Source organism: Homo sapiens, chromosome 7 (genome assembly GCF_000001405.40).
Source record: "Homo sapiens chromosome 7, GRCh38.p14 Primary Assembly".
In the NCBI taxonomy this organism is placed as follows: Eukaryota; Metazoa; Chordata; class Mammalia; order Primates; family Hominidae; genus Homo; species Homo sapiens.
This window is the reverse complement of record NC_000007.14, coordinates 29163539-29185846: the sequence shown is the minus strand read 5'-3', so window position 1 is coordinate 29185846 and position 22308 is coordinate 29163539. Positions and strand designations below refer to the sequence as shown.

At 38.4% G+C, this 22308-nt stretch overlaps 2 protein-coding genes across 18 annotated transcripts in view; one reads left to right on the top strand and one right to left on the bottom strand.

The window, feature by feature from the left end:
- CPVL (carboxypeptidase vitellogenic like) overlaps positions 1 to 22308 on the top strand; it is a 200816-nt gene that overhangs the window by 9605 nt on the left and 168903 nt on the right. For 5 of the 15 annotated variants that reach the window (NM_001371266.1, NM_001371265.1, NM_001371260.1 and 2 more), the window contains 3 exons: positions 250 to 334; positions 1299 to 1426; positions 4435 to 4557. The exons of 1 other annotated variant lie outside the window; for it this stretch is intronic. The gene's annotated coding sequence lies outside the window, so the exon portion shown is untranslated. Of the gene's footprint in view, positions 1 to 249; positions 335 to 1298; positions 1427 to 2136; positions 2312 to 4434; positions 4558 to 10988; positions 11113 to 12077; positions 12150 to 22308 lie in introns of all 15 variants that reach the window. 9 more of the 15 variants (NM_001371268.1, NM_001371262.1, NM_001348054.1 and 6 more) reach the window with 6 other exon arrangements.
- CHN2 (chimerin 2) overlaps positions 1 to 22308 on the bottom strand; it is a 367738-nt gene that overhangs the window by 328482 nt on the left and 16948 nt on the right. The gene's annotated exons all lie outside the window — the stretch shown is intronic.

The following is a 22308-nucleotide window of genomic DNA, read 5'->3' as shown; positions in this document are numbered from 1 at the left end:
CTTGCTAAAATGCAGATTCACATCCAGGGGCAGGCCCCTGAATTTCCAACAAGCTTGGAGGTGATGTGAATAATTTTGAATAATAAAGGTCCTAGGGCGATGGTTTGCAACTCGGGGTATATATGAGAATCACTCAGAAGGCTTTTAGAAATCCCAATGCCGAGATCACGCTCCAGAATAAACAAATCAGAATCTGAGGGTGGCAGAAGGTAGAAACCAAATATCAGCCTTTTTTTTTTTAATTCCCAGGTGATTTTGATATGCTGCTAAGGTTTGATAAGAGAAATGAGATTCAGAGAACAGATTATATTGTTGAAGAGCTTGACTGGAAATGGTAAGAGCTAATGTTGCTCCATGTTTTTGCCGGGATTGTCTCTGGTCATGAAGGAAAGAGAGGGAATCAAATTCTTATCAAGAGCGTGTAACCACAGACATCATGATATGAGAAAATAGAATAAAATCTAACATTAGCATGACATTTTCTCAGTCAATGTGGGGCAATTCTTCTTCAAATTTTGGTCCATGTTATGATCTTTAAAAGACACTTCTCAATGAATAAGCATAAACAATAGGCACTTAGGGTCACTCCCACAAGAACAGCCAGCTGTCAGTGAGGCAGATGTTTTCCAGCAAATCTACTCTATCATTTCTCAATCATAAAGAAGATTAGAAATGGGATTTTCAGTTCAGATGGGGTTGAAAGGTGATGTTTATGCCTGAGAAATACTTCACACCACAGCTAGAAAAATTGGTTTGGAGAAAAAATATCTCACAACTTCTTAGGTGTTCTGAATATATGAAAATAAAACCCTCAGCTTGGACAGAAAGAGGGGGTATCACAGACAAATGCACTTAGAGACATCTACTCTCAATGGTGGCAGCAACAGAGAGGCGAAAGTATTTTAGCTGACTCTTTATGCCCAAAGATTTTTGTCCTTATCCACATAAACTCCCATTCCTCAGGGCTGGCATTGAAAGGGTGAATAATTAAGTCAACCACAATGTTTACAGTGGTTAACTCAGGTGTGATGCTTAATTTTATGCGTCAACTTGATTGGGCTGTGGGGTGCCCAGGTATGTGGTCAAACATTATTTCTGGGTGTTTCTGTGTGTCTTTGAATGAAGTTAAATTTAAATCAGAACACTGAGTAACACAGATTTTCCCCCAGTATGTAGATGGGCCCCATCACATCAGTTGAAGGCCTGGAGAAAACAGAAAGGCTGACCCTCCCTTGAGAGTAAGAGAAAACTCTTGTGATGGCCTTTGGACTGATCATCAGCTGTTTTCCTGCCTTCAGATCCAAACGGAAACATTGGCTCTTCCTGGGGTTCCAGCCTGCTGTCTTGACAGGAACTATACCATCAGCTCTCCTGGGTCTCTTACATGCCAAGTCATCCTGCAGATCTGGGACTCACTCCGTAATCAGTGAGCCAATTGCATATACTAAATCTCTCTTATCTGTATATCTCATACAGTCATATATTTTCTCATATAAATATATATATGAGATACATAGATGTATGAGATATGAGATATACCATATATAATATTCCTAAATATATATATCATATATATCCACTATATATCTTATATATAGATTGTATATGTATATCTCCTATATATATTTCTTCTATAAATATCTCTTTTATCTATCTATCTATCTATCTATCTATCTATCTATCTATCTATCTATCATCTATCTGTATCTTCTGTACAGTTAGTAGTCCTTTGGTATCCATGGGAGATTGGATCCAGAACCCCCACTCAGATATCAAAATCTGCATATGCCCAAGTGTCTTATATAAAATAGTGTAGTATTTGCAGATAACCTATGCATAGCCTCCTGTATACTTTGAATCATGTCTAGATTACTTACAATACCTATACTATGTAAATGCTATGTAACTCGTTGTTATGCCCCATTGTTTTTTATTTGTATCATTTTTAATTGTTGTTTGTAATTTTTATTGTTTTTTCTAACATTTTTGGTTGGTTGAATGCATGGGTGTGGAATCTACAAATATAGAGAGCTGACTGCATATGTATCTCCTATTAATCTATATCTAATCTACATATATCATATATCCTATACATATATCTTCTATATATCTCTCTTATTGGTTCTCTTTCTCTAGAGAATGCCACCAATTCAGCACTTAAAAAATTCTGGGCCAGGTGTGGTGGCTCACACCTGTAATCCTAGTACTTTGGGAGGCCAAGACCGGCAGACCACTTGAGGCCAGAAGTTTGAGACCAGCCTGGCCAACATGGTGAAACCCTGTCTCTACTAAAAATACAAAAGTTAGCCAGGTGTGGTGGCACACACTTGTAAACCCAGCTACTTGGGAGGCTGAGGCAAGAGAATTGTTTGAACCCAAGAGACAAAAGTTGCAGTGAGCCGAGATCATGCCACCTCACTCCAGCCTGGGCAACAGAGCAAGACCCTGTCTCAAAAAAAAAAAGGCTAGGCACGGTGGCTCACACCTATAATCCCAGCACTTTGGGAGGCCAAGGCAGGCAGATCACCTGAGATCGGGAGTTCGAGACCAGCCTGACCAACATGGAGAAACCCTGTCTCTACTGAAAATACAAAATTAGCCAGTCATGTTGGCATATGCCTGTAACCCCAGCTACTCAGGAGGCTGAGGCAGGAGAATCGCTTGAACCTGGGAGGCGGAGGTTACAATGAGCCAAGATTGCGCCGTTGCACTCCAGCCTAGGCAACAAAAGCGAAACTCCGTTTCAAAAAAAAAAAAAAAAAAAAGTCTGCCATGTTTTCCAGTTGCCTTCGTACCTGTCTCATATAATGGGAAGATTCTGGAGGGCAGCAATGGTGCTCTGCTGTTTTCATATATCCCTTCTTTAACCCAAGAATCTTTCCTGTAATAGAATTTCAAAAATGTAGAATCCAGCTGAGTGTTTATCTTTGTTCTGGATTCTCAAGCCATTTAAAGGCAGCAGGCTGTCATGATTTTCCACACAAAAGGGCAAAAACGGGATTAACACAATAGGATGCTGTCTCTACTCTCATCTACCCTGTCCAAGGAATTTAATTTCCTATAAGCCTACCTCCAATTCTCCTTGGGACAGTTATATTTAAGAACCTTAATGCTTCAGACCCTCTTTTGACATTAAATCTTTGTCTGCTGAATGCTAACAATCTTGAGGGACATTGGGTTTACTCAATTTGTATTTTTAGACATGAGTGTACGTAATTGTGTAGACAAAGTATTTGAACGTTGAATTGATATTTTAAAGTTTTGATCCAAATGTGTGATATTGGATAAAAATACTCTAGGAGGCTTAACGTGGGTAATACAGACTAAACTTGTCAAGTAGTTAAATAGGATGATCTGGCAGGACTTATGAAAATGTCTGAAGAATATTACAACTTTCTACGTTTTCTTTTTGATCTGGGTCCCCATAGCCCTATTCTGCTACACTCTATGTGTCATATCACAATGAGGAGCTTTTGCTTTTTACTGCTGCTTATGATCTTATTTCATTATTGGTAGGTGGAACACTATCAGATTAATACAACTCTTTTAAGGCATTGAATAGAAAGATTCCACCACTGCTAACCTTCCTCTGCGCTCCTATTTTTCAAACTCTATCATTACCTTCTCTTCTGTAGAGCATCCTGTCACCATCTTATAATAGAAGTTCAGTTCATTTGCATATGCATTTGCAGGTTTTCATTAAGAGGAAGACAGCAGAGTGATTAATGAGTGTTAGTTCTCATTTTGCAAAAGGAATATTGTCTTTTTAAAAAATATTCCATCTTTCAGAGCACTGAAAGAAATAGTTATAATTTAAGTAAGAAAAAGTCATTTACAGCATTTATGTTATTTAAGATGTTTTGCTTATAAAGTAATCCATGCTTACTGTAGATATGTTAGAGGCAAAAAAGAGATAAGTAAAACAAAAAAAGAAATCATCCATATTCCCTCCACCATGAATAAATACTTAGGTACTTTTCCCCCCCTTAGGAATTAGCAGTTTAGCAGCCTGATTTTTGCAGTTTACATTACATAGCAATATGAACATTCATGTGGAAAAAAAGTTTGTTAGGACCTATATAAAAAAGTGTCTATTTTGGAATGTTAAGATCATTAGTGTCTACTTTATTTAGTTTTTCTAGATTGTGTAATTTTTAAAATGAATACATTTTACTTTTCTAGTTGGAGGCCATAATAAAGCTACTTTCCTTTTGGAATGAACTTGTACAATTATTTCCTATGTCTTATAGATTCCTAATGTGACTTTTAATGGCAATATAAAATTCCTTTCTATTAATCTACAATAATTCATGTTGTTATTCCTCCATTGATTGAAATTTAGGTTGTTTCACAGTTTTTGGCTTTTTCTGAATTACTCTTGGACAAACTTCCTTACACATAAATCTATATGTGCCTTTCTGTTTATTTTCTTAGGCTTGATTGCTGTAAGTTGAACACGTCAGTGGCATGGGCACCAGCTGCACAACCCTAGGAGCCACCAAACACAGTATATTCTATATAAATGTTGCTGCCAGGAGCCCCAGTTCAAACTACAATGTGAGTAACGCCTGCTGGAGTAGAGCAATAGCTGAAGCCTTGGTCAAAGGCTATGAAAATGTTTAAAGCACTAGATAAAAATTGCCAAGCTGCCTTCTGGAAAAATTGTCTGAATTTATATTCATTCCAGAACTCACCACATATATCATGACTGAGAATTAGAATATATTTTAAAACACAAATTCCCTAGGAAAAAATGGCCTCCCATTGCTGTATTCATTTGTATCTAACTGATTACTAGGGAGATTAACTTTTTGCTTATGTCTACTAGTCATTTGTATTTCTTCTTTTGCAAACTGCCTATTCATCTCTTTTGGCAAAATAATAGTAAGTACTGGGTACCAGTGATTGGTACCAAGAGTTGTTTATGTATGATCTTACGTACTCTTTTCAATTACACTGCAAGCAGTCATGCTTATTATCTCCATATTACAAATTAGAACTCCAAGAGGTATACGGATGATACGAGTCTTGTCCAACATCACACAGAATGTGACAGGGCCTGGATTTGAACCCAGCTCTAACTCCAGAGCCTGAGCTCTTAATCACTGGACTCTAGTGCCCCTTAATTAGTGTGTTAGTGTTCTTCTTATTAGTTTGTAATAACTCTTTACATAGTAATTATAATAACTTTTAATTGGTCAAATTTGTGCCAAAGGTATTTTTATTGGCTCATCATTTGCCTTAATTTGATTTATACAGATTTAAGTCATTTTTATATCAATTTAGATGACTTTTTTTTTTTTGAGATGGAGTCTTGCTCTGTTGCTCTGTCGCTCTGTCGCTCTGTCGCCCAGTGCAGTGGCGCGATCTCGGCTCACTGCAACCTCCGCCTCCTAGGTTCAAGTGATTCTCCTGCCTCAGCCTCCTGAGTAGCTGGGACTACAGGCATGTGCCACCACGCCTGGCTAATTTTTTGTATTTTTAGTAGAGATAGGGTTTCACCGTGTTAGTCAGGACGGTCTCAATCTGTCCTGACCTTGTGATCTGCCCGCCTCAGCTTCCCAAAGTGCTGGGATTACAGGCGTGAGCCACCACACCCGGCCTAGATGTCACTATTGGTACGTTATCACATTTTAAAAATATTCTAAATTTGATTCACAATATTATTAAAATGTTTGATGTGAAATATTTTCCTTTCTAATAAAAAAACTATTGGGGAACAGATTGACTTCGGAATATTAAGAATGAAACACATGTAAGCATAATATGTGAATATTTGGAAATGAAATAACCTACATCATTGATGAAAGGACATCTTATTTCTCATTGATATTTCCACTGTCTGCAGGGAAATATAATCATTTGAAAATACAAGACAAATAGCAAAAGATCAATAGAATGCTTAGCAATGTAAGTTATCTTAATGCTTTCAAAATAACAGTGACCAGATTTTTTGTTTGTAATACTTAAGTTGATTTGCTTGCAATAATAAATAAATCCTCACATGCACTAACTCAGTTTTGCAAAGCATAAGAAAACAAATGAACCTCATAAATGCTATATAGCCCCTCCACAAATGTCCAGTTCTTACCCGTGTTTTGCATTGATATAAAATAGAATAGCTATTAAGTATTTTGTAATTTGAGAAATAAAAAACCTGGTAATTATTGATGGTTTCTCTACTTAGAAAAAGGAGAATATTTATTTACATATATCAGAGTAATTCTATTTGGCAAAGGATATATAGCAAAATAATCATTTGTGTTACTAACATCTGCCTTGTTCTTGCTTATGAAGAAGACTTAGGACAAGTATCAGAATCTTTCCTTCTCACTCCTGAAGAATTTGTGTTGAGTCTGGGTTCCTGGATTTTCTAGCATCTGAGAGTGGTCAAAAAATTCTCAGACTGCAAAACTTCAGCCTGAGTTTCTGTGCAGAGCATTCTGGAGTCTTTTCTTCAACAAGGCTGACTGAAGAAGGCTGACACTGTGTGGGAAGGAAGGCAGAACTGATCTAGCAAAGAGTGAAGGGAGCACTCTTCCTCATGACTTGGCGTGGGATGGGGTGGTTCTTAAGGATGGCATCCCATGCCCACTCTCATGCAGTGCTGTGTGAGGGGATGGAGCCTTCTGAAGGGTTCTCCCAAGATGGCAGCATGGCCTAACACAAATAAGCCTTATGCCCAAGCTTGGCAAAAAGAAAATGGAGGGGCTGTTTTCAAAGGGTCCATGAGGACTGTAAGTGTGTCAGCATGATATTGGAGGATCACCTCCTGTTTTCTGACACCAAGAGAGATGCTGGGTCCCCTATAATCCTAAGGAGGCAGGAGACCTCAAAACCATAACTGAGGAGGTGCAAATGCTGGTTAGCTCTGGTAGGTGGGGTCCTGCCTGGACTATAATGTCCCTTAAATGGTGTGTTAGTGTTCTTTTTATTAGTTTGTAATAACTCTTTACATAGTAGTTAACCTTTGATTGGTCAAATTTGTGGCAAACCCATTTTTATTGGCTGATTATTTGCCTTAATTTGATATATCATAGGGATTTAAGTCATTTTTCATATGAATGCAGATGGCTAATTCCACTCCAAGTTGTGAAATTAATTAATTAATGCCAAACAGTCATTCAACAAACAATAACTGAGCCCCTACTATGATCCAGGCATAGGTATAGACCCTGAGAATATAACAATAAACAAAGTCCCTGCCCTTAAGAGGCACAGACAATGAACTGCTTTTTTTAAAAAGATAACTTCAAATGCTGAAAAATGTGTTCAGATGAACATAAAACAGCATGTCAGGCAACGTCTCTCGGAGGATGTGACATTTCAGCAGAGACTTGATCTTGCAGGTCTGGAGGAGGGAACAGCAGATTTAAAGGGCTGAGTCAGACACGAGCTGGGCATGTTAGAGGAACAGGAAAGGCGGCCAGTGGAGCTGGCGTCAAAGGAATGAAACCGCACGCAGAGGAAGACCAGGTCAGAGGCTGAGTAGATGTCAGATCCTAGCAGCCACGTGGGTCATAGTGGAGACTTTCTGTTTATTTCTAGACACAATGGGAAGCCACAGAAGCTTTTAGGAAGGGGATAACATGTTCTGATTCATACTGAAAAGATCACTTTGGCAGCTATGGAAAAGGATAGTAAGAAGAGCAGGGTGCACGGTGGCTATGTGACTATTCCAGTGGTTTCAAAGAAAGGCTGATGGTGTGGACAGAGGATAGTAGCAGTGGAGATGGCAAGACACCATCAGACTTAGGGTAGAATCTGACAACACTTGCTGATGATGGAATGTGAGGCATGAGATAAACAATCATCAAGGTGACTCCTAGGTTTTTAGCTGAGCAGTTAAATGGCTGGTGGTGCCACTTGCTGTGATGGTGAGGGCTTGGGGAGGGGGAACTTTGTGTGGGGATGGAACCGAGGGTTGTGTTTCGGACATGTGAAGTTTGAGGCACCTATGAAATGTCTAAGGAGATGTCAAGTAGCAAGGTTTGGAGAGAGGTCTGGGTTGGAAAAAAAGATTTTGGTTATAAAGTGAATGAATGAAAGAACAGATAGATAGGTGGGAGCATAATGAGATGGGTAGGTGTTTAGAAGTAAAGAGGGTTGGGGTATAGCTGGTAAAGTGGATGGATGGATGGATGACTGCACAGATGGATGGATGGACAGATAGATAAATAGGTAGATATTAATAGATGGACAGATAGATAAACAGATGGAAGAAGGAAAAGAGAGAGAGAAAAAATGAGGGGACAGAGGAAAAGCCAGTAAATTAAAAAAAAAAAAGTGAGGGGGCCAGGCACGGTGGGTCATGCCTGTAATCCCAGCACTGTGGGAGGCCAAGGCAGGCAGATGACTTGAGGTCAGGAGTTTGAGACCAGGCTGGCCAACATGGTGAAACCCCATCTCTACTAAAAATACAAAAATTAGCCCAGCATTGTGGTGTGCACCTGTAATCCCAGCTACTCAGGAGATTGCGGCAGGAGAATTGCTTGAACCCGGGAGGCAGAGGTTGCAGTGAGCAGAGATAGCACCACTGCACTCCAGCCTGGATGACAGAGTGAGACTCTGTCTCAAAACAAAACAAAACAAAACAAAACAAAACAAAATAAAACAAAAAAAGAAAGAAAAAAGAAAAAGATCTCCTATATAGGTATAAATTACTTTAAGCAATCTGAAGATTAGAAAGGAATAAGTTTCCCAGTGAGTAAATTTTTTAGTGTCTCTGTGCTAGAAGACAATGTTCACTAAACTAAAAATATTTTATCTTAAGGAGATAACTATTTTATATTTGCCTCTTCCATCTATATTTTTTCCCCTCTCTTTCTTGCTTTCTTTTGTATTAAATGATTTTTTTTCATTCCCATTTTCTCTGTATTTATTTGGAAGTTATAAACACTGTTTCTATTCATTTAGAAGTTAACCTAGGCATTTTAACATATAAGCTAACGAAGCCTAATGTTTATCCATATTCTTACCATTCTGACCAATGATGAAAGAGCAAGAGGTTGCTTTCCCTTTCCTTCCTGGCTTCCTATTTATATGCTCTTCCTTCTAGTATTTCAGCTCAATCTCGTTTTTTAAACACCAGAAGTTAGCCATTATTTGTTGTTTTATACTGTCAACGTTAATTTAGGTTTAAACAGAAGTTTCCCATTTTCTTGGCTCAAAATTCTTTCTTGTATATTAGATCTTCCTTCTGTATTCTTTTTTCTTCCTAAAAAATACCCTTTTAAAGCTTCTTTGTAAGGGTGTCTTAGTAGTAATCCCTTTCAATTTTTGTCTATAAATGTCTTTACTTTGTCTTTCCTTTGGAATCAAAGTTAGATTTGTATAGGATTCAAGCTGACAGTTAATTTCCTTCAGCAATTTGAAGAGACATACTGCTAATGAAGACATACCCATTGTGTTCTGACATGTTTTCCTGCCAATAAGAAGTCCACTATTAATCTAGTTATTATTTCTTTTTGGCATTTTTTTTTCTTTTTCCTCTCTGTTTGGGGGAATCTGAAGCTTTCCTACAGTGTATCTAAATGTGACTTTATTTTTATTTATCCTGCTCAGGACCTATTGGCCTTCTTGACTTCTCTTCTGGATCTTTGTAGTCAGAATAAATAAATAGTCATGGTCTTTTTTTTCTTTTATCTGTTTTTTTTTTCTTGAGACGGAGTCTTGCTCTGTCGCCTAGGCTGGAGTGCAGTGGCGCGATCTTGGCTCACTGTAAGCTCCGCCTCCCAGGTTCACACCATTCTCCTGCCTCAGCCTCCCGAGTAGCTGGGACTACAGGCGCCCACCACCACGCCTGGCTAATTTTTTGTATTTTTAGTAGAGACGGGGTTTCACCGTGTTAGTCAGGATGGTCTTGATCTCCTGACCTTGTGATCTTCCCGCCTCGGCCTCCCAAAGTGCTGGGATTACAGGCATGAGCCACCGCGCCCGTCTGGTCTTTTTTTCAATTATGGAAAATAGTCATGATCTCTTTGAATATTGCCTAATCTGTCCTAAAATGTCAGTGAATTAGACATGTTAGACTTTCTCACTCAATACTTCCTAACCCTTCTTTCATATTTTTCACTGTTTTTTTGTTTTGTTTTTTTCCCTGTGCTCCGCTTGGGTAACTTATCTTCTACTACTCTCCTTCCCGTTGGCTATCAATCAATTTATCTGTGTTAGTCTGTTCTCATGCTGCTAATAAAGGCATACTCAAGATTGGTAATCTACAAAGATAAGAGGAAAAATTGACTCAGTTCCATACGGCTGGGGAGGCCTCACAATCATGGTGGAAGAGCAAGGAATGTCTTACATGGCGGCAGGCAAGAGAGTATGAGAGCCAAGTGAAAGGGGAAATGCCTTATAAAATCATCAGCTCTCAGCCAGGCATGGTGGCTCATACCTGTAATCCCAGCACTTTGGGAGGCCGAGGCGGGCAGAAAACCCGAAGTCTGGAGTTTGAGACCAGCCTTGCCAATATGGTGAAACCCCCTCTCTACTGAAAATACAAAAAATTAGTCAGGCGTGGTGGCATGCGCCTGTAATCCCAGCTACTGAGGGGGCTGAGGCAGGAGAATCACTTGAACCCAGGAGTCAGAGACTGCAGTGAGCAGAGATCGTGCCACTACACTCCAGCCTGGGTGACAGAGAGAGGCCCCGTCTCAAAAAAAAAAAAAGGAAAAAGAAAAAGAAATCATCACATCTCATGAGACTTATTCACTGCCATGAGAACAGTATGGGGGAAGCACTCCAAAGATTGAATCATCTCCCACTGGGTCCCTGCCACAACATATGGGAATTATGGGAGCTACAATTCAAGATGAGATTTGGGTGTGGACACAGCCAAACCATATCATTATCTAATCTGCTGCTTATCAACTGAGATGAATACAATTTTTATATTTTTCATTTATAGAATTTTGTTTATTTTGTGTCTCTCTCTCTTCTAGCTTCTTGTTCCTGTATCTCTCTAAAAATTCTTTTTTTTTTTTTTTTAGATGGAGTTTTGCTCTTTTTTGCCCAGGCTGGAGTGCGATGGCACAATCTTGGCTCACTGCAACCTCCACCTCTTGGGTTCAAGCAATGCTTCTGCCTCAGCCTCCCAAGTAGCTGGGATTACAGGTGTGTGCCACCGTGCCCAGCTAATTTTGTATCTTTAGCATAGATGGGGTTTCACCATGTTGGCCAGGCTGATCTCGAACTCCTGACCTCAGGTGATCCGCCCAAGTCGGCCTCCCAAAGTGCTGGATTACAGGCGTGAGTCACTGCACCTGGACTCTCAAAATTGTTTAATCATTGTGTTGGGTATTTTCTTTCTGCCCCTTCCAAATCCACTCTACCATGTTCCATCCTGCTTTGTGCCCCCATGGCTAATCAGCTGAGCAACCTGTCCCTTGTCTGGACAGGTTCCTGTCCCTCTTGGGGGAGAAGCAGACCTTGGCTATGTACTGGTGTAGCCTCCAGGCCTCGAAAAGCTTTACTGTCTCTCCTCAGGGACTGATGACTTTTGCTTCTGTCCTTTCCCCAGAAGCAGATATGTGCCTGCATACCAAAATATGGAAAGACGGGATTGCTGGCCCCCCTCCAGAGGCAGAGGGCTTTGCTTCTCAAGGGCTTGCTGCTTCTTCCTGACAGCTTAATTAAGGCTTTTGCTCCCATGAGAGGAGCATCAAGGTGTGGGGGCAGCCACCTCCTCCTGCATCCTGTGCCACCAAACGGGGGGGTCTCTCCAGCCTTTTGCCCTGCCCTAGTCTTCCTCAAGAGCACCCCCTCTTCCCCATGGAGACTATGAAGAGAAGCTTGGGAGTGTGTGTGAACTCCGCTTGTGTCTGGGCCTCTCAATTATTCTAAATTAATATGAGATATGAGTGCATACTCAGTCTTTAGAAATTCTTTTTTTTTTTTTTGAGTCAGTCTCCCTCTGTCACCCAGGCTGGAGTGCAGTGGTGTGATCTCAGCTCACTGCAGCCTCCACCTCCCAGGTCCAAGTAATTCTAGTGCCTCAGCCCCCCAAGTAAGATGGAATTACATGGGATTACAGGCATGAACCACCACACTCGACTAATTTTTTTTTTTTTTTTTGGTAGAGACAGGGTTTCACCATGTTGGACAGGCCGGGCACCTGACCTCAAGTGATCTGCCCGCCTCAGCCTGCCAAAGTAAGGAATTCATTATTTTTAAAAAAATATTTCTTCTTACTCACTCCATGGCAACAACCCCCTCCTTCCTCCCATACTCTGCCAAAGGTGCAACAATTTCATATCCTGCCTCTCATTAGAGATGCTTTTTATCCTTTGAAGTTTACTTTCCTGGTTGCCTTGTGACCTCAAGTCTCTGATGAGTTTAAGGAAAGAAAGTTATAATATTGTACACTGTTCCTCATTTTCTTGTTGTTAGGATGGGGGTGACATTCTCTCGTAGCTTTCTATATTCCAAGCAGGAGCAGAAATCCTCATGTATTATTAATAGCACCACCTTTCACTTCATAATCACTGTGGGCTGGAGGATAAATTATATGGCTGCAGAAAGTTAGGCCCCCACTCGAGGCTACCAGCACCTGGCAGATGCATTCAGGGCAATGCCAGCTACAGGGCTTTTTTTCCTCTGGGTTCCTGCTTAGCTTTCTGGCCTTAGAAGATTTCCTTGACTTTCCTATAAGCTTAGGTGTGCATTTTTAAAAATGTTTTTTTAAAAACTATCTCATCCAGCTTTTTTTTTTTTTTTTTGATACAGAGTCTTGCTCTGTCACCCAGGCTGGAGTACATTGGCGCAATCTCAGCTCACTGCAACCTCTGCCTCCTGGGTTCAAGCGATTCTCCTTCCCCAGGCTCCTGAGTGGCTGGGATTACAGGCACCCACCACCATGCCCAGCTAATTTTTGTATTTTTAGTAGAAACAGGTTTTTGCCATACTGGCCACGCTGGTCTCAAACTCCTAACCTCAGGTGATCCACCCACCTCGGCCTCCCAAAACGCTGGTGAGCTACCACACTCGGCCTTATCCAGCATTTTTAAGTGGCAGAAAAGCTTCTCCAGATATCTAGTGAGTCATACAGCTGGAAACAGAAGTTGAAAAAAAAAGTTTTATAATATTAAAATGTTAAGGTTTTACTTCTTTCCCAATTAACATTAATGATTCTTGAAATCGTTGGTCAGATGACTGTATGTCAAAAAGCAATGGTTAATATGAAATTAATATTTAAAAAAAGGAATCTGTTAATGTCAAAGATGGACTTTACTAAGCTTTTCTTAAATATTCTAAAAATTCAATTTATCTGGAGGGTGTTAACATGAATAATTTAAAATTCATTTCCCAACTGCAAGGGAAATCAAATTGATTCCAATGGTTTTCCTGAATCTGAAGGCTTGGTTATTTTTAATAATTTTTTTTGGATGATAAATGGGTGGCAATATGATGATAGATGAGACAGAGATTATTGTTACAGCATATTAAGAAAACTTTAGACACTGATGCTATCATAACCAAGGGTGAGCCTAGGTGTAGAAGTCACAATGTTCCTGAAGCAGAATGTTGGTCAACTGGATGAGACCAGTCAACTAACAGAAATCAGCTGTGATGCCCACAGCAACCATGCTTTCAAGAACTCAGTGGGCCGGATGCTGGAGAGTAGGTGGTGCTGTTTTAATGATTTACAGTAAGATGCCCCATTAAAGGACTGAATCATTGCAGGAATCCCCCCATATATGGAAACCTAGGTACTCCCTGGGTTCCTTCTAGGTGGCAATGTAATCCAAGCGTATAAACGTGATACTGCTGACCCTACATCTGATTTGGCCCATCTGGCTGACTAGGGGGCTGTCTCCACCATTCCATGAGTTTTTTCTCCTGTGTACCACCCACTGCACCCTGCATTGTGCACTCTGTTGAGGAGGACAATTACTTCAGATACAGCTGGATTGTTCTTTAAAGTCAAACATATGGGAATTGGGGGCTTCCCTCCAAATCAGTTCGTAAGTCCATTTGTAAGAACTATATGTGACGGCATGCTTGAAAGCTTCAGCTACAACAACTTCATTTCTTAAAAAGTGATGGATTCAATAATGTTAGATGGATTTGATAGGCATGTATTATATTATGGAAAAATGAAAATGCATTCTCTGGAGACACACTGGTAGATTTCTAAATTATGTCATATGCTTGGATTTAGCCTGCAACAACTGCTATACTCTGAATTGTTCATCTCCGGACAAGTATTTAGTTTGTGGAATTTGATTTAATAGTGCCCCTTAAGGTATTAGAGTTTGTCTTTCCGGTCCACGTTAAAAGTCTCTGACCTTAAACTCTGTACAAAGAAAGCCCTTCAAAGAAAGCTCGGGGCTGAATTGAGGAGGATTCTGGGTAGAATCCTCTCCGTCTGGGATCCCCACCCTATTAGTTTACTTGAGGTGTGGCGCTCCTTCTAACAAGTTCAGCTTGAAGACTCTGAACTGGCTAATGCCGTTGTTTATTCCATTACATATGTATTATGTTGGTTTGTATCCCCACAGAATCACCAAGCCCAGTTTACAGGTTGTTCTTCTTTATAGACCTGTGAAATCCCCTGGGTGTTCCAAAGAGCTTTGGGGTTTCTGGGAATGTGGCAGAAAGAATACAGTAGGACGCGTATTAGGTGATGTCTGCGCTGTTCCTTCATGTGAAAGAGCAGTGCGTATGTAAGCAATGTTAGGGCTCTGCAGGCAAGAGTCAGAACTGGGGGGAAACCGGCAGTTCATTATGTCCAGCACCTTCCATCTCAATTGACACATCTCATAAAGTCGTTTTTTAATAAATCAGCTGAGTCATAGAGAAGTGTAAGTGATATGGTTTGGCTGTGTCCCCACACTAATCTCATCTTGAATTCCGACATGTTGTGGGAGGGACCCCGTGGGAGGTAATTGAAGCATGGGGGCAGGTCTTTCCCATGTTTTTCTTGTGATAGTGAGTAAGTCTCACGAGATCTGATAGTTGCTATAAGGGGAAGTTTTCCTGCACAAGCTCTCTCTTTACCTGCAGCCATCCACATAAGATGTGACTTGCTCCTCCTCGCCTTCCGCCATGATTGTGAGGCCCCCCCACCAGCCATATGGAACTATAAGTCCAATTAAACCTCTTTCTTTTGTAAATTGCCCAGTCGCGAGTACGTCTTTATCAGCAGTGTGAAAACAGACTAATACAGTAAGTCATTTTTGCCTGAGATTAGATATTACAGAAAGTCACACAGAAGTGTTCCATGAAGTTTAGAAATAAAAATTCTAGAAGACATACATTTGTCATGTAATGGTTGATTTTTCTTCAAAATATTCAGTGAATGTACAAAACCCATTTTAAACTAAGGACATGTACAAATTACTTAAATTCGTCCCCAGATGAACAATTGGAGAAAATATGAATAATGGGGGAAAATCTAACATGTGCAGTATTCAAAATTAATTAAAGAAAGGGCAAATCTTTGGCATCAAATGGAACAATGTTTTACTAGAGGTATGCATAAAAGGAACACTGACATGAAGGAAAGCATATTAAAATCTTGTGTTTGAAGATTCACTGTTCCCTAGAGTTGCTCTAGTAATTAAGATTAGCAAGAAATTTGTCAGATATTAAAACAAAAGAAGAGTTTCATCAGTATCACCAGCAATCTATTGTTAAACATAAAGTAGCCAAGGAAGCACCTTAGGACCATGTTTAAGAGCTCAGGGAATCCCCCTCCACCCCATAGGATTCCTGTCAGTTTACCTCCAGAGAATGGGCTTCTGCTAGAAGTCTGGGAGCACTGGATTAGTCAAGAAGGCCAAATACAAGGATCAAAAGGACACCACAGCTGGGCATGGTACTCACACCTGTAACTCCAGTGCTTTAGGAGGCAGAGGCAGGAGGATCACTTGAGCCCAGGGGTTCAAGGCTGCAATGAGCTATGATGGCGCCACTGCACCCCAGCCTGAGCAACAGAGCAGCAACCTGTATATACATATATATATACACACACACACACACACACGTATATATACTTATATATATGTGTGTATATATATATATACATCTTATCCCTGCCAGGTAGCCATGGAATAAGGATGTGAAGGTCTATAGGCACACCAGCTCTGACTGAGCAAACAGTGGTCAGAAGGGAGGAAGAAGCTTTTCTGGATCAAATGTGTCAAGCAGGCCCTGAGAAGAAAAGACAGAGCAGCACATGATGGCAGCCATACATAGGACATGAAAAGGCAGAAGCCAAAGAAGAATAGGTAGAAAAAGCCAATGGTCCTGTTTTGGTCTTTTCAGTTACTCTTCAGTACACCGTCAGCTACTTAATCTCCCTTTCCTCTTGTTTAAGTGAAAGATAATATAACAATAACAAAACAGTTGTATTTATTTTTAACATAACATTATTGTATATAAACATTTATATAAAAACAAAATAGGACAAATCACTAATGGTAAGTTTTTAAAAATAATTAAAATGGTGTGTTTAGAGGGGTATGAAAATGGAATTGTTAAACTCTAAAAGAGCACACTGTACATGAATGCCTTAGAAGAAGCAACTCAATAGGATGATATATTTTAAGGGATTGAATAATAGAATGTTCTTCCCAGAATCTTCTACAATGGTAATATCAGCATAGTGCATTTATTCGTAGTACAACCATGTATTTTGAGTAACATGCCTTTCAAAAACAGTACTGAATATACAATGCATAGACCACCTAGAATAGGTATGAAAGAAAGAAAACTGAAATGAATAAAATGGGGAAAATTCCATGTTTTATTCTATGGGAGATAAATTTCTTATATATCCATTAGAATTGCCTATGAAAATCAAACCACAATTTGAGTCCATTTTCCTCATGATATTCTAATAACCAGGACTTCCATTTTCATCAAATAGAATTTATTATACATTTACTTTTGAATCACATTGGGCTGGGTATTACTTAAAACATGGCGAATAGAAATAGTTCATACCTCTTAGAAGCTTATAGATTAAATGGATAGTGGTAAACACGCATATGTAAAAATCATGCACACATAATACATACTTAGTAGTACATGTCTAAACAACATGAATACATGCTAAACTAAATTACTTCTAGTGCTTTTAGCATAATATAATGGAAAAATAGTTTTTAAGTGTGTTTAGCCATCTGATTAGCTGAGACACAAACTCTCCCTGGAAGCCTACAGCTGAGGTTTGAGGGGGAAGAGGGAAAGCTTTCAGCCTATACAGGTTGGGGGATTGGAACAGAGACCCTCACATAACACTGGACCTCCAAATTGCAAAGAGTTCTTACCTTTAGAGATACACAGATGAAACTATAGGATGTCTGGCATTTTCTTCAAAATAATCCAGGGGTGGGAGGAATGGGTAGAGATTACAGATGCAAAAAAGATTGACTATGAGTCCATAATTATAGAAGCTGGGTATGGCTACATGGAGGCTTATTAGAATATTCTATTTTGTATGCTTGAAATTTTCTAAGATAAAAAGTTTTATTTAAGAACCATTAAAAGAAAAACCAAAAATTGTGTAATGGAATTGAAACAAAGCTGACACAAGATGAGAATCCAAAATGTCTAAAGAACTTCTAGAAATCAATAAGAGAAAGACAAAGAAACCCATTGAAAGATGGTTTAAACAAACAAATAAACCGACATTTTATGAAATAAAAAAATGCCCAGACCAAACGTCAGAAGATGTGCAGTCTCATTAGTAAGCAGGAAAAAGCAAATTAAAACCACAATGAGATATTCTGTATGTTATGATATGCTAGGTAATATTGTTGCCACCAACACCCAAGAATCATACCAACAAAATTTTACTTCTCACTCACACAAATGTCCAGTTTAGGTCATCTGGGAACTGTGGTCAGTCATCTGTTCATTATGATCACTCATGTTCCCAGGGTCACACAACAGTTACCTCCGATGTTGTAGGCCTCCTTGTCAGAGGGAAGGAAAGCATGGGGGTTTTTGCATCAGTAAGTAATTGCTCCAGCCAGGAGCTGGCAGACATTCCTTCACAATTCATTACAAGTCAAACTCACTCATAACAAGGATTTAGGAAGTGCAATTCCTTCTACTATGTGCTTGGAAGCAGAGAAAACTGGAAATGTTTAGGGAAAACAAATGACTTTCACAGATGCCAGTTTTTTTCTATCAGATTGGCAAAACTATATAGTCTGACAAAACCAAATATTGGTGAAGATGTAGAGCAATAAAAACACTTACACACTTTTGACTGAAGAGTAAATTGGTACCACTACTTTAAAAAACAATTTAGTGTTATTTAGCAAAGTTGAAAATTCATATAGTCTTCGACTCAGCAATACCACTCTAAGATACATACTTTAGAAATAGTTTTGCATATGTGCACCAAAGACATATTCAAATATGGTCATAGAAGCACTGTTTGTACCAGCGAATCAAACAAGCAAAAAGAAAAACTGGAAATAGCTCTCATGTCCGCAGATAGTGGATAATTTTTTGAATATTCATTTAATGAAATACCATTTAGGATAGAATATGAATGAACAGATACATGTTCATCTGGTTGAATTTCAGAAACATATTGAATGAAAAAAGTAAGCCTAGAATTATTGTATTTGACAAAGGTCTAAAAAAGTTAAAATTAATATATTATTTTAGGATTACATACTTAAGCAAAAATAAATAATTAAAAGTTAGTTTAACACAAAATTCAAGATATTGTACCTTTGAGTACACTTTGAGTGTATCAAGGTAGGGATGTTACCAGGGACAGATTTAAGGTATTGATAATATTCTTTTCGTCAAGTTGTTTGGAGTTGTAAACATTGTTCACTTTGTTATTATTCTTTAACTTGTACATATACAGTATATGTACTCTATGCATGCAAAAAAGCATAGAAATATATCTTATATTGTGGAGAAAAATCAGTCAATGGAAACAGAACAAAAATGACACAGATAGTAGAACTAGTAGTCAAGGACATTAAAAGAACTATTATAAATATGTTTCAAATGTTCAAGAAGGTACAGGAAATAGAAAAACAAAAAATAGAGAATATCATTGGAATAAAAAACTGGTTTTTTGAGATCAGTGAGTGATAAACCTTTAGCTGGATTCATCAAGAAAAAAATAGAAATGATACAAATTATTAATTATAGAAATGAGAGAGAGGATACCAATACAGTTGTAGATACTAAAAGTATAAGAAAATATTACAACCATCTTTTTTGCCATAATATTTGACAACTTAGATAAAATGGACAAATTCTTTGAAAGAAACCACCTGCCAGAGATCACTCAAGAAGACATAGATTACCTGGATAGCTCAATAGCTATTAAAGTTATTAAAGGCTTCTAACTATAAAGCTATTATAGTTAGAAACCTCCCCATAAAACAAACAAACGAACAAACAAACAAAAACCCAGAAAACACATCAAGCCAAGATGGCTTCTCTGGTTAATTCTACCAGACACTTAAATCAGAAAGAATATCAATTCTACACAAAACTTCAAGAAAATCAAAGAGGATAAAACACTTTGCTATCCATGTTGGGCGCAGTGGCTCATGCCTCTAATCCCAGCATTCTGAGAGGTTGAGATGGGAGGATTGAGGCCAGGAGTTTGAGACTAGCCTGGTCAACATAGTGAGACCCCACCTCTACAAAAACAAAAACAAAAAAAAACTGGATGTGGTGGCACACACCCGTGGTCCTAGCTACTTGGGAGGGTGAGGCAGGAGGGTCACTTGAGCCCAGGAAATCAAGGCTACAGTGAGCTGATATTGCACCACTGCACTCCAGCCTAGGCATAGAGTGAGACCCTGTCTAAAAACAAACAGACAAACAAAAACCCACTTTGCAACTCAATCTATGAAGCCAGCATTACCTTGATACCAAAACCAAAGATATTACAAGAAAAGAAAATCTACAAATCATGTCCCCTGTGAACATAGTGACAAACACTGTTTATAAATTTTACCAAATAAAAGGTTTATCTCAAGAATGCAAGGTTGGTTTAACATTTGAAAATCAACCCATGTAATTCACCATATTAATACACTTAAAAAGAAACACCATATGGTCACCTCAATATATGCAGAAAAGCATATGACAAAAATTCAACATCTATTCATGATGAAAAAATTTAAAAAAGAAAAGAAGAAAATTCAACCACATAAAGGGCAGCTATGAAAAGCCTACAGTTAACACCTCACCTAATGGTGAAAGACTGAATGCTTTTCATTTAAGAACAGTGCAAGTATATCCATTCTATCACTTCTACTTGTCATTGTAACAAAGATTATGGCAAATGTATTAATGAAAGAAAAAGAAATAACAAAGGCATACAGGTTAAAAAGAAAGGCATAAAGCAGTCTCTATTAACAGACAACATGACTGTGGAAAATTCTTTGAACCAGTATAGGTGATTTAAAAAAAATCTAAGAAACCTACACACACAAAAATATTGGAACTATTCAGTGAGTTTAGCAAGGTTAAAGGATAAAGAGTAATATATAAAAATCAATTTTGTTTCTATACAGTAGTAAAGATCAATCCAAAATTGCAATAAAAATACCATTTAAAATAGCAGAAAATATGAACTTAAGTATTGGTTTGAAGAAAACTTATGCAAGACCTTTATATCAAAAACCATAAAACATTGTTGAGATAATTGAAAAGATGAGATATACATGCCCATAAATCAAAAACTATATTATTTAGATATCTATTCTCCCCACATTGATCTTTAGATTAAATGCAATGCCAATAAAAAAATCAGCAGGCTTGTTTTTTAGAAATTGACAAACTGATTCTAAAATTTATATGGAAGTTCAAAAGATGTAGAATAGTCAAAAACATCTGAAAAAGAATAAAGTTGTAGAACTCACACTATACACTTGAGTTTATATTTAGGGTTTATCATGGAGCTATGGTAATCAAGACAGTGTGGTATTATCATAATGATAGATATACAAAGATCAATGGAACACTCTAGAAAGTTTAGAAACAGACCCACACATATATATCAGTTGACCTCTTTCAAAGGGAAACTGGGTGAAGAAATAATAATCTTTGTTTTTTTTTTTTTTTTTTTTTTGAGACAGGTCTTGCTCTGTCACCCAGGCTGGAGTGCAGTGGTGAGATCTCGGCTCACTGCAACCTCCGCCTCCCAGGTTCAAGTGATTCTCCTGCCTCAGCCACCAGGGATGCTGGGATTACAGGCATATGCCACCACGCGTGGCTAATTTTTGTATTTTTAGTAGAGATGGGGTTTTGCCATGTTGCTCAGGCTGGTCTCTTCTGAGTTCAAATGATCTGCCCGCCTCAGCCCCCCGAAGTGCTGGAATTATAGGTGTTAGCCACTGTGCCTGGCCAAAATTGAACACTTTTGCTCTTCAAAAAAATGAAATGAAATGAAAAAGAGGAAATGAAAAGGCAAGCCAAAATCTGGGCAAAATTATCTGCAAAATATATATTTTATGAAGGGTTTGCATTTTATATAAAATAAACCCTTACAACTTAATAAGAAGAGAAACAACCTAATTAAAATACTGTGCAAAAATCAAATAGACATTTTACAAAAAAGAAACTGTACAAACAGGAAATAAGCACATAAAAAGATGCTGGACATCATTAGTCATTAGGAAAATTCAAGTTTAAATCACGGTGAGTTGACACCTAGCATGATGGCAATAATCAAAAAGACACAATAAGTGTTGGGAAGGATATGGAGCAACTAAAACTCTCATGCACTGCTGGTGGGAATGGAAAATGGCACAACACTTTTGAGAACAATTTTATAGCTTGAAAAGTTAAACATTCTCTACTATATGTGTCAACCTAGGTATTTACCCAAGAGAAACGAAAGCATATGTCCACATAAGGACTTGTCCACGAATGTTAACAGCAGCTTTATTTGTAATAGTCAAAAGCTGGGAACAACCCAGATGTCCTTGAACAAGTAAATGGACAAATATATTTCAGTCCAATTCAGCAATGAATTCAGCAATGAAAAGGAGTGAACTATTGATATGCATAACATAGATGAATCTTAAAGTAACTACACAAAGTGAAAGATACCAATTAATATAATTGTATTTATTTAAAAATTTTAAAAATGCAAGCTAATCTATAGTAATGGAAAGCTGATCAGCAATTGCCTGGTGACAGAGATGGCAGGAGGGAGGAAACTTTTGGGGGCAATGAGAATGTTTGTTATCTTGTGATGATGGGTTTCATGGGTTCATACATAGCTGAAACTGATCAAATTGTATACTTTATATTTAGCTTATTGTATGCCAGTTATACCTTAATAAGATTGTAAAAAAAAATGGATAT